The sequence below is a fragment of the Homo sapiens genome, chromosome 12, assembly GCF_000001405.40.
Source record: "Homo sapiens chromosome 12, GRCh38.p14 Primary Assembly".
Taxonomy (NCBI): Eukaryota; Metazoa; Chordata; class Mammalia; order Primates; family Hominidae; genus Homo; species Homo sapiens.
This window is the reverse complement of record NC_000012.12, coordinates 132,441,205-132,455,266: the sequence shown is the minus strand read 5'-3', so window position 1 is coordinate 132,455,266 and position 14,062 is coordinate 132,441,205. Positions and strand designations below refer to the sequence as shown.

General features: G+C 58.1%; 1 long non-coding RNA gene across 1 annotated transcript, besides 6 other annotated features; it reads right to left on the bottom strand.

Annotated features, from left to right (window-relative positions):
- Positions 3,863–4,172: an enhancer, noted in NCBI's record as "active region_7376". NCBI's record gives its function as "activates an Ori minimal core promoter by ATAC-STARR-seq in GM12878 lymphoblastoid cells {active_cell/tissue: GM12878}" and the evidence as "EXISTENCE:reporter gene assay evidence [ECO:0000049][PMID:35858748]".
- Positions 5,407–5,476: a silencer, noted in NCBI's record as "silent region_5118". NCBI's record gives its function as "represses an Ori minimal core promoter by ATAC-STARR-seq in GM12878 lymphoblastoid cells {active_cell/tissue: GM12878}" and the evidence as "EXISTENCE:reporter gene assay evidence [ECO:0000049][PMID:35858748]".
- Positions 5,507–5,556: a silencer, noted in NCBI's record as "silent region_5117". NCBI's record gives its function as "represses an Ori minimal core promoter by ATAC-STARR-seq in GM12878 lymphoblastoid cells {active_cell/tissue: GM12878}" and the evidence as "EXISTENCE:reporter gene assay evidence [ECO:0000049][PMID:35858748]".
- LOC112268102 (uncharacterized) lies at positions 8,261–13,431 on the bottom strand. Its single transcript, XR_002957440.2, has 2 exons — positions 13,160–13,431; positions 8,261–12,935 (listed from the first exon to the last, which is right to left on the bottom strand). It is a non-coding gene; the product is annotated as an uncharacterized LOC112268102 (long non-coding RNA).
- Positions 8,512–9,198: an enhancer, noted in NCBI's record as "H3K27ac-H3K4me1 hESC enhancer chr12:133022655-133023341 (GRCh37/hg19 assembly coordinates)". NCBI's record gives its function as "activates a minimal SCP1, AML or CMV promoter by ChIP-STARR-seq in naive H9 embryonic stem cells {active_cell/tissue: H9 hESC(naive)}" and the evidence as "EXISTENCE:reporter gene assay evidence [ECO:0000049][PMID:30033119]".
- Positions 9,199–9,886: an enhancer, noted in NCBI's record as "H3K27ac-H3K4me1 hESC enhancer chr12:133021967-133022654 (GRCh37/hg19 assembly coordinates)". NCBI's record gives its function as "activates a minimal SCP1, AML or CMV promoter by ChIP-STARR-seq in naive H9 embryonic stem cells {active_cell/tissue: H9 hESC(naive)}" and the evidence as "EXISTENCE:reporter gene assay evidence [ECO:0000049][PMID:30033119]".
- Positions 10,574–11,261: an enhancer, noted in NCBI's record as "H3K4me1 hESC enhancer chr12:133020592-133021279 (GRCh37/hg19 assembly coordinates)". NCBI's record gives its function as "activates a minimal SCP1, AML or CMV promoter by ChIP-STARR-seq in primed H9 embryonic stem cells {active_cell/tissue: H9 hESC(primed)}" and the evidence as "EXISTENCE:reporter gene assay evidence [ECO:0000049][PMID:30033119]".
- Positions 13,432–14,062: the final 631 nt, after the last annotated feature.

Below are 14,062 nucleotides of genomic sequence, written 5' to 3'. Positions count from 1 at the left end.
CCTCAGCCTGGGCCTCTGACCAGGGTCAACAGCTTCCTCTCCCCTGGCAGTGTCTGCTCCTTGGAAACCAGGGGTCCCCCTGACCTGCTGCCCCTCCCAGAGGTCGTGCCCAGACCTGCATCGTCCCCACTGGACTCTGCTCTCAGAGGGTGACAGATTCCCCCATGTTTACCTGGGACCCCCACGGCCCACTTCGTCTTGGGGAACACGGGTGGCTGGTCACCCTGGCTCCCACCCCATCTGCAACCGGCTACCCCTGGCCTTCCAGTTGCTGGCTTAGCATGGAGGAGAGCCCTGGGGTGGCCGCAGCCTCCCCCAGCTGCCCCCTGCACGGCCGGGCTGCTCAGAGCTGCCTCTGGCCTCAGACTCCCCGGGAGATGCAGAACCCACTTCCTCACCCTGCCCACCCTCCAAGCTGCCTGCCTGGAAGCCAAAGGCAGCCCTCACTCTTACCACAGAGAAGAGCAAACTCAGGGAGGGACGCTGGGCAGAGGGAGGGGCTCCAAGGACACAGGGGTTGGGGGAGGGGTCTAAATAGCATCTGGTCAGAGGAGGCCGGTGCTGGTACCCTGTGCAGCCCAGTGCAGCACCTCCCCCAGAATAAAAGCCAAATCCTCCTGCGACCACACCCCAACACTCATCACATCTACCCCAACCCTAATCCCAGCACTAACCCTAAACCTGACACCACTGCCCCCTCACCCCCAACACCCATCACATCTACTCCAACCCTAAACCTAACACCCCCGTTCCCTCAACCCCCACACCCATAACATCTACCCCAACCCTAATCCTAACATCCCCGCCCCCTCACCCCCAACACCCATCACATCTACTCCAACCCTAATCCTAGCGCTAACCCTAAACCTAACTCTCTCCCCGCTCACCCGCCAACACCCATCACATCTACCCCTAACCCTAATCCTAACAACACCCACGCCCCTCACCCCCACCACCAATCACACCTAACCCTAACCCCTAACTGTCCCTCCTCAGGACCTAAGACTGGCTGTCTCCTTGGCGCCAAGAGCTGTTCCGCCTGACTCCATCCATCTCTCTTCTTCTGGCCCATGAACTCAGACACGGCCTTCCCAGGAGGCCCGGGCTGGGGGTGGGGGGCAGAGTCGGCCACAGCTGTCTTGTGTCCCTGGCTCCGAGCAGGCATCTCTCCACCCCATCACTGCTGACCAAGCCTGCTGTGCTCTGCCCAGCCCCTGGGATGCACTTGGGATGGTTAACTAGCTAGTTTCCTTGGCAGGGTGCAGGCCAAGCACCCAGAGGGAGCGGCAGGGCTGCGGGATGCTCCCCTCCACCTCAGGGCCTGCCACCTGCAGGCTGAGCCCGGGCACCGATGCCAGCAGCCCTCCAGCCCCAGCCCTAAGGCCCGGCTCCCCAGGGCCAGGGAGGTTAATTGGAGCAGCAGGCCTGGAGCCACTGCAGGGCTCCTGGCTCCAATCAACCTCCCCGTGTGAGGAGTAACAAAGCCCCAAAGGCGTTGGCCGGTCACCTCAGCCCCACAAACCGCAGGCACTCACTTCCCGGCTCATGACGGATTCTGGAATTCAGTTACATCAGCCGCCCTCTGGCTCCTGGGTTCCTGGAGAGGCTGGCCCAGGAAGGTGATCAGGAGCCCGGCTGGCGAGCCTGGCCTGACAGCAGCCTGGGAGACCCTTGGCCACGGAGGCTGCCCCCCACCCCCCGACAGGACCCAGACCTCCCTGGAGCTGGGAGGCACCACAGACATGTGGGACACAGCCGTGAACCGGAGACGAGCCCTGGCTTGGGGGGTTGCAGTCTGGGCAGGAGGCACAGTGGGTGGAGGCACTGGCGGTCAGTGCCCTTCAAGGCTGTGGAGTGCCGGGGAGGGCGTGAGCAATGCCTCACGGGGTGACCAGGATGTCTCCGTGAGGTGATGGTAGAATGAGGAGGTGCGGGGAGATCCTGGCATATTGGGGTGCAGGGAGGGGCACACAAGCCAAGGAGCAGCCAACGCCAGGCCTGAGGATGGAGGGCTGCAGCGTGTGAGGCCCCTCCGGGAGGTGTGGTGGCTGGGGGGCAGTGTGATGGGGCCAGCGGGGGCAAAGTGGCAAAGGCTGCCCCATCAGGATGTTGGCTTGCTCTGTGGGGGACGGCGCACTGGGTTGAAGAGTGTCCCCGAAATTCACCAGGATGAACTCAGAACGTGGCCTCGTTTGGATGGGATTAATGAAGGGGAGGTCAGTGAGGGGTCTGTCCGCAGGGCCGCAGGGTCCAAGCACACCTGCTCCTGGGAGTTGCTTTCAAAGCTGGGCCAGAGGAACAGGTGGCAGTTCAAAGGTGCCAGAGAGTAACCAAGGCAGCTGGGACTTGAGGGGTGACGGCCCCAAGGAGGAGGAGGAGACCTCATTTCCCTGAGGCAGCCTCAGGTTTCCTGGCAGTCAGAGCTGGGAGGGAAGAACTTGCATCAGGCTTTCTGTTGATGCCCTTGAATGCCGCAGCCTGGGAGTGAGGGGGACCAGAGGAGAGCAGCCTCATGCAGACCGGCGGCCTCCAGTTCCCGCCCTCGTGGAGACTGGCGGCCTCCAGTGGTCCCGGCCCTGATGGGGTCATGGCAGTCGACCCCTAACCCTAACTACCATCCTAAAGAAAAGCAACTCATCTCCAGAGGAAGACAACATCACCCAAGCCCACTGTAAATGTGTATTCACAACGCCAAGCATTCAATCAAAAATATCCAGGCATGGGGGTGACAGGACCAGGTAATAAGGCCAGCAGCAGCAGCAGAGGAAAGTCAATAGAAACAGACGCAGCAGCGACGGGAGTTTAAAACAGCAGCATCGGTGTATTCAAGACAATATGTAAGAGGGAGAATTTCATCAGAGAATTGGAAATCGTGACAAAAGAATCATGGACATTTTAAGACTGAAACACGCCGTAGGTGGAGTTCAAACCCCCGAGAGGGTTTGACGGCCCCTCTGGCCTGTTGTTCCTCTTCCCTGAGTATGTGTGTATCTGTGTGCGTTTCTGCCTCCCTCTTCACGGTCATCCCCTCTCTGTGTGTATCTGTCTCTCCTCTCTTATGACACCAGTCATTGGATTTAGGGCCCACCCCAATCCAAGATGACCTCATCCTCACTTCACATCACACCTGCAGAGGCCACGTTCCGAGGTTTCAGTGGATGCGAATTTGGGGAAACACCACTGGATCCCGTGCAAATGCCCTCCCCTCTAGCTGGGCTGTGGCCACACCACGCCAGCCTCATGGCCTCCTCCTCATCTCTGCCTTGACCGATGCGGGCCGGGAACCCTCCTCAGAGCGCAGACCCCGTCCTCTGTGGGCCACAGGCTGTGCACTCAGGGGCTGCCCTCCCACTGCAGCCAGGGTGGGCTGGCCCCTCCACCTGGGAATCCAAATTAGGAGTAATGAGGGGGATGTGGCTGAAGTGTGGCAGGATTTAGGGCACAGAACCCGGGGAAATCACTAAAACCGTCCCCAGCGTGGACGGCGGGGAAGAGACAGGTCCGGCAGCGTGAGATGGAAGAGTCGCGCAGCAAGACCCCTGTTCGGGAGAATGGATGCCCCCGCCCGCCCTCCGCCCTCTGCCTTCCAACCTCCACCCCCGACCCTCCGCCTTCCTGTGGCTGCTCCTCACTGGCCCAGCCCAAGAGGACGTCAGAGGGTGAGGGGCCATCCCAGACCACCCTGCAGGACTCGCGTGGCCTGATGAGCTGTGGGGGGGACTCTAAGCTCCCGCCCCTGCTTGGCGTCCTCCCCTCCCTCCCCGAAGCCTCCAGGGTCAGGGAACACCCGGCGGCCCTGCCAGCCCCTGCCCCGCCCTGGAGAGTCGCCGTCTGTGTCACCCGCGCCACAGAAAGGAAGTCAGCGCAGCCTGGGACAACCCCCCAGAGGGGTCACTGGCAGGTGTGGGCCCTCCAGATGCCTCGCGGGCCAGTGACAGCAGGAGGGGAGACTGGGAGGACACCCCAGCCGCACAGAGGGTGCCCTGGCCCCTCCTGGATGCCCTGAGCTGGTCGGGGTCTCAGAACCTGCTCTTCCTCGGCCCCCCAGGGCTGGAGCAGGGGGCTCAGCTGGGCTCGATCATGGGAGTTTCCCCTCTGGCCTGCACTGGAAAACCCAGCACAGCCAGGAAGAGATGGGCCCCTCCCTGCAGAAGCCGGGCGGGCGTGCTGGGCTCCGCGTGGGCAGCTCCCCAAACGGGCCTTGGGGGCCTCCCTGAGGGGATTCAAGGCTGTGTAGCTCCTGGGGGGCTGCCATGGGGCCAGCAGAGGAGGAGGGGAGGGAGGGAGTGGCCACACCTGCGCTGATGCTGCCTGGCCCTCCCTGTCGGACCATGACCCTCATCAAGGAGGGGTCCAGCCTCAGGGACTGAGATGGCTGAGCCCCTACATCAGCCCAGGGACCCTGGGAGAAGCCTCCCCCATTCAGATGGCCCTGCTTGGAAAATCAGCAGCTGCAGGCTAAGGCCGAGGGCTCCAAGGCACTTCATTAACCTCCTCTGGGGCTTCTCATTGCCTTTCCAGGAGGAGCAAAAGCAGCTGTGTTTGATTTTGGAGGATTTTACTGTGTGTGCGACTCTCCTGGACCGGCAGGCACCAGACCACCAGATGATTACGAGGTGATGGAGCCTCCCGGCCTGGGGAGCTGGGCCCTGCCGGCTCAGCTCACCCCGCAAGCAGGTCTGTGTGCCCTTGGTCACTCCAGGCCCACCCGGGGCCCCAGGCAGCTTGGGACGAGGACTCTGAGACATGTCTGGGAAGACTGCCTGTGCAAACTGGGGCCTCCCGCCTGCCTGGCGCGGCTCCGAGCACCCCCAGCGGGTTAACACTTCATTACCAAGGAAATCAATTTTCCTCCGCAGAGCTGCTGGCAGAAAAGCGCTTCTCCCTGGCAGCTTAGGAGGGCTTAGCCTGCAACTCCACCCTGAGCGTTCACTGCCCCCACCTCGAGCTGGTTGTTTCTGGGACCAAGGCTGGGGGAAAGGGACTTCGGGAGAGGTCGGGAGGAGCCGGGCCTGGGCCTTCCTGGGCTGTAAAGCTGCGAGATGGACAGGCAGGGACTGTGTGATGCAGGCAGGTATCCGGGAACGCCAGGGGATGCATTTACATGGCATTAGGTATTACAAATCATCCAGAGATGACTGAAAGTATTGGGAGAAGGTGGGTAGGCTCTATGCAAATACCAGGCCACTTTATACCAGGGCCTTGGGAACCTGCTGATTTCAGGATCCAAGGGCGGTCCTGAAACCAATCCCGAGGATATCGAGGGATGACTATACTGCAAGTGGATTAAACGCTTAAGTGTGAAAAGTGAAACTGTAAAAAAAAAAATTTAATTGAACATTTACTATGTACCAGACACAGTTCTAAGCACTTTCAAAGCAACAGTGAACACAGCACATGCTCTCTGCCCTCCTGGGGCCCCCGGAGGTTGGTGGGGAGATATGAGCCGCGGTCATCACAGGTAAACACATCACTCAAATAAGTCAAGGGGAAGTGGGGTGCCGGGAGGGGCAGGCTGCATTTACGCCTTACCTAAAATATGCTTGCCGCAGGGAAGGTGACATTTCAGCAGACTTGAAGGAACTAGAGATATCGATGGAGGTTTCATCCTGAAACCCGAAACTAGAATGCAAGAAAATATGTTTTGTTTATTTATGAAACTGGGTAGTGTTAATTACAACACTTCATTTTTAGAAAGAAACACAATGAATCTACAGCTGATTTTTGGAAGTTGCTTTTCAGACAAAAATGGTTGAATGCCACGACATAACAGCCTTTATTTGTGACTTTCAAAGCATGCTCCAAGCGGGGCAATTTTTGAAAGAAAAAAAAAAGGTAAGTTTATTGAATTTCCTAAGCACTTCTCTCTTTTTAAAAAAATAAATTTTTCAGCCAGGTGCGGTGGCTCACGCCTGTAATCCCAGCACTTTGGGAGACCGAGGCAGGCGGATCACCTGAGGTCAGGAGTTCGAAACCAGCCTGGCCAACATGGTGAAACCCCATCTCTACTAAAAATACGAAAATTAGCTGGGTGTGGTGGCATGTGCCTGTAATTCAAGCTACTCAGGAGGCTGAGACAGGAGAATCGCTTGAGCCTGGGAGGCAGAGGTTGCAGTGAGCCGAGATTGTGCCACTGCACTCCAGCATGGGCAACAGAGCAAGACTCCGTCTCAAAAAAAAAAAAAAAAGGGCGGGTGCAGTGGCTCACACCTGTAATCCCAGCACTTTGGGAGGCCGAGGCGGGCATATCACAAGGTCAGGAGATCGAGACCATCCTGGCTAACACAGTGAAACCCCGTGTCTACTAAAAATTAGAAAAAATTAGCCGGGCGTGGTGGCACGCGCCTGTAGTCCCAGCTACTCAGGAGGCTGAGGCAGGAGAATGGCTTGAACCCGGGAAGCGGAGCCTGCAGTGAGCCGAGATCGCACCACTGCACTCCAGCCTGGGTGACAGAGCGGGACTCCGTCTCAAAAGAATGAAATAGGGTCATCAGAGGGTGAGCTTATTTAGAAATAGGGCCGTGTCGCAGATGTGATGAGCAAAGATGAGGCCATCCTGGACTGGGGTCCTTCCACAAGGGGAGATTGCCAAGTTATCCTCAAGCCAAGGAACTTTTGGAAGCCGGAGGGAGGCTTGTGTAAGTCTCCCAGTTTGGGATGATTCAGTCTGTAGCTCGGGGCCAGTCCAGATTCATCAAGGGAGAAGCCAGCACAAGGGGCGGCCACCCTCTCACTCAGTGACCCTTAGCTCCACGTGAAAACACACTCAATCTCCAGAGACCTCGGCCTCTCATTCCGCTGCATCCTCAGGCCCAGGCTTGGAGTCCTTGATCATATCAGAACGAGGGCTGGGGAGGAGGCCCTCAGCGTCTCTCACCCACATCTCCATCTGAGGAACTGAACTAAGAAGCCTGGGATCACAGGCGTGCACTTCTCTGGGGCCCTAGACCCAATATGCGATGACAAGGCAGGGGCGGGACGAACACGCCGACACCCCCGTTCAAACAGCAGGGACAGGAGGAGCAGACACGGTTGGCAGAAACCTGAGCTCCAGCCAGGTCCACACCAGCAGCTTCTAGGTGAGCACCGCCTGCTCCTAGGAGCTGACTCTTTGTGACCCCAGGCTGTGTCTCCTGGGCTCTTGGCTGAGGTCAGAGTTAAGGTCCCTCTTCTGCAAGAGGTGGCCTGTGCTTGTGGCCGGGCAGCTTCTCAGCCTGCCTCCTGAGCATAAAGAGGCCTGTTTCCACACCGAGCCGCCTCTCTCTGACGGCACTTCCACAACAGAGCTCTCTGCAGAAACCCTGTGTGTCTCCTGCGGGCGTGACTGAGTTAACCCACACCTGCTCGCTGGGGCAAGCTCTTGTCTCCTTGGGCTGAGACCCAGGAGGCTGCGGAAGGGCGCCCTCGAGGTTCCCAGAGGCCTGACTGTATCGAGTCTAAAAGATAGCTTGTGAATCTTGCAAATCTCAATAAAGCTGCTTCAGCCACGCCTTTGAGGTCTTCACCCTTAGGCCAGAGGCCATTTCTCACTTTGAGAACCTGGTACTGGCTTAAAAGACTGTCCTGGGCCCTCTTGATTCCTCCAGATTCTGCAAACTCAACGGCTCCTCACGTGCCTGCCCCCCACCTCCCCGCCCCCAACTTCAGCCTCTGTCTAGACAGGTCCTCGCAGGGCCACGACCTTCCCCGCAGCCAGAGGTGGTGCCACCCCAGCGCTCCGCCTGCCCTCAGCGGGGGTCTCCTTCCCATCCTCCTCCCCAGCCTTCCCACCATCCCCCGTAGACTCCTGGAGGCCCCCAGGTTCTGCGTGACTCCAAAGGTGACAGCACATATTTGGGGTGCTAATCATGGTGGCACCCCATTTCCTGGCACCCACTTCTCACTCGTAAGATGGCTTCTCAGGATGGTGCCTCCCCAGACGCACGGACTCTGGGCCTGTGTAGCCAGTGGCATGAGCTGGAGGTGGCAGACTGTGACTCTGAGACGGCGTCTTAGTAGCCCTGGAACTCCTGCCTCAGCTTTGTGGGATTTGTCCTAGGGGAGGCCAGCTGCCTGCCAAGAAGCTTGATGACCCTGGCAGCCATGCTGTGAGGGGGTCCAAGCTGAGCGTGGAGAGGCTACTCAGAAAGAGATGCTGGACAGCTCCAGCCTGCATTTGCTGCAACCACACTGGAGACCCTAGGCAGGAAGCACCCAGCGCAGCCCAGTCAACTCCAGAGCCCTGAGCACTCACGGTAGATTGCTATTTAGGCCATCAAGCTCCGGGGAGGCTTATTTATTTATTTATTTATTTATTTTTGAGACGGAGTCTTGCTCTTGTTGCCCAGGCTGGAGTGCAATGGTGCAATCTCGGCTCATGGCAACCTCCACCTCCCGGGGAAGTTTATTACGTAGCAGGAGATAACTAAAAGAAAGTGCATTTTGTTACATTTTGTTGGCTGATGGGTACATTGTCAACAAAGCTGTGCCGGGATTGCAGCAGTTTGAGCAGGGAGGGTGTGGGGTGGGACCTACTGCATAAACAGAGATTTTATTAGTGGATAGTTCTCTGAATATAGCCTTGAAACTGTAACCACCCAACGGGTTCTTCTTGCCTGACAGCCGATTTATCAGGACAGGAGAATTGCAATAGAGTCTAGTGCATCCAGAGCCAGCTAGCAGGAGACTGGAGTTTTATTATTACTCAAATCAGCCTCCCTGAAAATTTGGAAACTGGAGTTTTTTAAAAGATAGTTTGGCAGGCAGGGGGCTAGGGAGTGGGGAGTGCTGGCTGGTTGGTCGGGGATGAAATCACAGGGGCTGAAGCTGTCCTCCTGCACCGAGTCGGTTCCTGTGAGGGCCACAGACCGGAAGAGCTAGTTTACCCGTCTGGGTGGTGCCAGCGGAGCCGTCAGAACGCAGGGTCTGAAGAACCTCTCCAGCATCAATCTTAGGTCCTACGGCGGTGACGTCATCCACAGGAGCGGCTGGGAAGGGTCCTGTGGGCCTACGATGGTGACGTCATCTACAGGCGCGGCTGGGGCGGTATCCTGTGGTCTTACTGTGGTGACGTCATCTACAGGAGCGGCTGGGGCGGTGACTTGTGGTCTTACGGCGGTGACGTCATATACAGGAGCGGCTGGGAAGGGTCCTGTGGTCTTACGATGGTGACGTCATCTACAGGCGCGGCTGGGGCGGTGTCCTGTGGTCTTACGGCGGTGACGTCATATACAGGAGCGGCTGGGGAGGAGTCCTGTGGCGTCTGGCTGCGTGAATCCTGAGCCGGAATTCCTAATCCTGCTGTTATTTGTCGGTTTTACAACGGGACTGGTCCCCCCAAGCGAGGAGGGAATCTGTTTTGGGGAGGGGCTGTTATCCTTTTTGTTCCCAACTTAAACTGTAAACTAAGTTCCTGTCAAAGTTAGTTTGGCCCACGCTCAGGAAGCAGCCGGGCGGGTTGGGGTGGAGGCAGGTGGAGCGGGTCAGGTTGGCCTCTGCCACTGTCGTGATTCCTCACTACTACCGTCTTAGCAAAGGCGGTTTCAGAACAGGGAGGGCTGAGGCCAGGAGCACGCCGGTGGCGGAGCCTCTGCGCCTGCTGTTCATTAGCGGATTTTGGAGGAGCCAGGGGAGTGTAGTCCCTTCAGGAGGCGGCGGAGGGAGGTGGGAGGTGTTTGGGGAGCTGGCAGGTGGGCTGGGGCCGAGCTCACAGCCTTCCTTGCAGGGGGAGTGGGGCCTCGGGATCTGAGAGCTCCTCCCCGCGGCCCTTCCCTCCTTTCTTAAGGGCCTAGAGTGGGTGGAGGGTGGTGCTGGCTGGCAGAGTGGGGGTGGGGGCAGCGAATGAGGGGCAAGTGTTTGCGTCCTCTCAGGCCTGGGGGCTAGTGCCACATGGAAGTGAATGCTCTCTGTCAGCAGGTCGGGGTAACTGGCATAACTGCGTTGTAATTACAGGAAAATTGCTCATTAATAACTGTGTTAGCGAGGCAGGGCGGAGGCAGATGGCCAGGGCAGATGCAGTGGGGCTGGGGGTTTCGGGGGTGGGGGTGCTGGGCTGAGCCTGGAGATGGGGGCGGAGCCCTGGGGTGGAGGAGAAGATGGTGTTTGGCTGGGCCCGGGCCAGGAAGTGGTTTTGCAGAGGTGTTTCTGCTAAAACGTTCTCCGTGCCCGGCAGCCAAGGCTGCAGAGTAGGAACTAGGCCTTCTGCTTCTGCTCGCGCGCAAGGCTGCCACACTGAGAGACCGGCGTTGGGCCTGCACCCGGTTCCCCCTTCTGCAGAGGCTCCGGGCCTGCCTGCTGTGGGGCAGATGGTGATAAAGGAGAAATGAGAGAAGCCTCAGAATACCAAACCGATCCCACTACCAACGCGGGGGACTGGGGTGGGGGCGAGGGAAACGCAGCCTTGGCCGGCGGGGGGTGAAAGTGATGTGGGTTGGAGAGAGAAGAGACCCCTCCCCACCCCACAGCGGTTCAGAGACAAGGCGGGAGGAGTGACGGGGGCTTCTGTATGCCTGCAAAACACCCCCATTTGTGCCCCTTTAAAAGATTCTAGTAAAAATATAAATCACGGAGGACTTCTGTTTCTGGCCAAAATGGAGTGAAAAGGACTGGATTCGCTCTCCCATTTGAAAACACAGAAGAGGTGCTTCCGGACATCGGGCACCAGGTTGGAAAGGACGAGAATCCCTGAGAAAGACACAGACAAGGCGGGGCTCACAGTTTCCTAGCCCCGGCCTCCAGCGTTGCTCCAGGCTGCATTCAGGGCGGGGCCCGGTGGAGCCCAGCAGACCCCCTGGGACAGGGGAGACAGAGGGCTCCGGGAGGCCCAGAGGGTTAAAGTTCCCAGGACAGGGCATGGAGGGGAGCGTTCAGAAGAGCCCCAACCCAGCTTGGGAGGAAGCCGCCGGAGGCCAGGGGCAACACTGTCAGAGAGCGTCCGGCCCTACACCAGCAGCCCACAGTGCCCGTCCCCCAGCCTGGAGGCCTCCCGAGGGTGGCGGTGGCATCTCACAAGGGTCTTGCTCCCCAAAGAGGGATAATTAGTGTGGACAAAATGGGCAGAACATTCGGCCCTGACGGCCACTTTAAAATAAGACCTGAGAGGCCAAACCTTTTCCATGTAACTGAACCGCACGCCAGAAAAAGGTGCAGGAATGTTTCCACATAAACACAAACATCCACACCCAACAAAGGCGATGTTAACAATGTCTGCCATCGATTCAAAGATTACATTCGGGGAAGCAGGAAAACCCACCCGTAAGGGGAGGAAAAATCCACTGCGAAATCCTGGTCAGAACTAACACAAGTGTTAGAATCGCCAGACAGACACTGACAGTCATCCTGACTGCATTCCCTGTGTTGAAAGAGCTAAGTAGAAACATAGACCATTTAAAAATATGCAAACCAAACTTCTAGAAATCAAGGCTACAATGGATGGGGTTCACAGACCACACATGGAGGAAAAGGTGAATGATCTTAAAGACAGAGCCAACGATACAGCACCGTATAAAACAGGAAACATAATAGAGTAAGTTAAAAGAGCATCCTGCGTGAGTTGCAGGTTCCAGGGGCCCGGCACCCCCGTGAGTGTAAGAGTACCCCACGCACAACCGTAATACGTATGGGGGTCCCTGAAGAAGAGCCGACCATGGAGACACTGAAAAGATATGAAAAAATCATGACTCCAAAATTTCCAAATCTGACGCCAACTGTGAACTCACAGATGATAGAAGCTCAACAAGCCTCAAGGACATGAAAGGCGAAGAAATGGGACAGAGGCCCATGGAAGCCAGAGTGCCCGGCCAGCCACAGAAGGTCCCTTTCCAGGTCACCGGAGGAAAACACACGCTCTCATTTCTCCTGAGGAGCAACGCGAGTGAACCCACGCAAGGGCAGCGTCGTAAGAAGAAACCTGTCAGCAAGAACATCTCTCAGAGACAAAGGTGGAACGAGTGTCTCCGGAGGTAATGCCTGAAAGAGCAGTGGTGAGCGGACCCGCTGTGGGGCACGGGCGTGTCCTCCCGGCAGGAGCAGCGCAGATGTGGGACGACAGACGCGGAGCCCCCGGAACAGCCACGGCGTGGTGAATTAGATACCTGAGATTTGACAAATGGATGAAGTATCCGTCGAAGGTAATTGACTGTTTAAACAAAATATTCACAGTGCACTGTGGGTTTTTTTTTTTTCGGGGCGGAGTCTTGCTCTGTCCCCCAGGCTGGAGTGCAGTGGCGCGATCTCGGCTCACTGCAAGCTTCACCTCCCGGGTTCACGCCATTCTCCTGCCTCAGCCTCCCGAGTAGCTGGGACTACAGGCGCCCGCCACCACACCAGCTAATTTTTTGTATTTCTAGTAGAGATGGGGTTTCACCATGTTAGCCAAGATGGTCTCGATCTCCTGACCTTGTGATCCGCCCGCCTCGGCCTCCCAAAGTGCTGGGATTACAGGCATGAGCCACTGCGCCCGGCCTGCACTGTGGGTTTTAAAACACGCATAGAGTGTGGCAGCCATGGTGCCCAGGCCATGCAGAGAGACATGGGGACGTGGGAAGGTTCTTGTATCACCGTGGAGTGGTGGGTTTCACCTGCAGGAGCCGGGGGTCCACGGGGACGTGCACTGTAGACCCCAGAGCAGCCGTGGCACCGACGTCCTTGCGGGTTGTTCAGAGACGCCAGAGTGTGGGGGGATTCAGTGACTTGGGGTCTCATGGGCTCGTTGGCTGATTTCTGTCTGGAGCACGCGCCGGCTCTCTCCCATTTTCTACTCCGTTGAGACCAAATTAAAATGGAACCGGCCACAAAGCAAGTGGGGCTTCGTGTCCACTTCTCCGAGGCTGGGGCCGGGGGCATCGCCTTCCTGGGAGTGCAGAGGAACGCGGGCAGAGTGTGTGCCATGGCCTTGGCCAGAGGCGATGGAGCCAACGCAGGAGGCTGCACCTGCCTTCCCCGAAGTCCACCGACACCTGTGAGGAACCAGAGAGGAGACGAGAGCTTCATCCAGTGCGGCTGCGAACAGCCGGGATTCCACCGAGGCAGGTGAGGAAGACCCAGTGATCTGGGAGCCTCCCCTAGGAGAGCGAAGCCTGAGGAGTGGGTGGCCGGGGTTGGGACCCAGAGGGTGACCGCAAACCTGCTCTGACCAGACGAGTGGGTGGCCGGGGTAGGGACCCAGAGGGTGACCGCAAACCTGCTGTGACCGGACGCATGGCAGGAGCAGGGAGGGCGTGGGAACCAGGGTGCCTCCACTGGCCTCTGGCAGAGCCGGAGCTGCTGACGCCAGGACCCGTGGCACTGAACCTGGACACATGGCTGAATGCCAGGGCCCATGGCACTGGACTCAGACGGATGGCTGAGTGGGGAGGGATTGGTAGAGGCCAGTGCCCAGCTCTTCCCATCTGAAGACAGGCAGAGGAGCCACGGCAAGCTCGAGCTCTGGAGGCTGGAACAGGTGCAAGGCTGGGTCCATCTCTGTTCTCCATGGACCTAGGAGGAGATGTCGCGGTTCCTGAATCTGAAATGGACATAACAACATTCCTGCTCTGAGGAGCTCCCGGGAAGAGCACATAAGCCGACCGAAGCCCCTGTGCCTGGCGCCGAACGTGCTCTCAACCCACACCCGGCTCCTGACACGCCCTCAACCCACTCGCTGGCAGGGTCAAGCCACCCCCGAGTCTGCCTCAGCAGAGTCCCCAAACCTGAAGCTGGCAGATTTGAGGCTAAAAAACTAAAGACAGAGCTCCAGGCCGGAGGCCAACTGTCCTTCCCCAGGAACGAGAAGAGGTCTGTGGTCCGGATGAGCAGAACAAGGGCCGGAGGCCCCTTGCAGGGAGCGGAGCGGACAGAGGTTCTGTTGGAGCCGCAGCTCAGAGCCCCTGAGGGACCCCCTACTCTGGGGCCCTGGCCCTTACCACAGAGCCTTGTGTGTGTTAGGACCGCCTGCCCAAGACCGGCAGAGCCAGGGAATCTGCATGTTTAACATGGCCTCAGATTCCACGTGGGGTGGGTTATGGTGGGGGAGACCAGAGAGGAATCCTTGCTTCACAGTTCGAAGTCGGAAGACAACGTTAGTGCTACACAGCCGGGGAGCAGC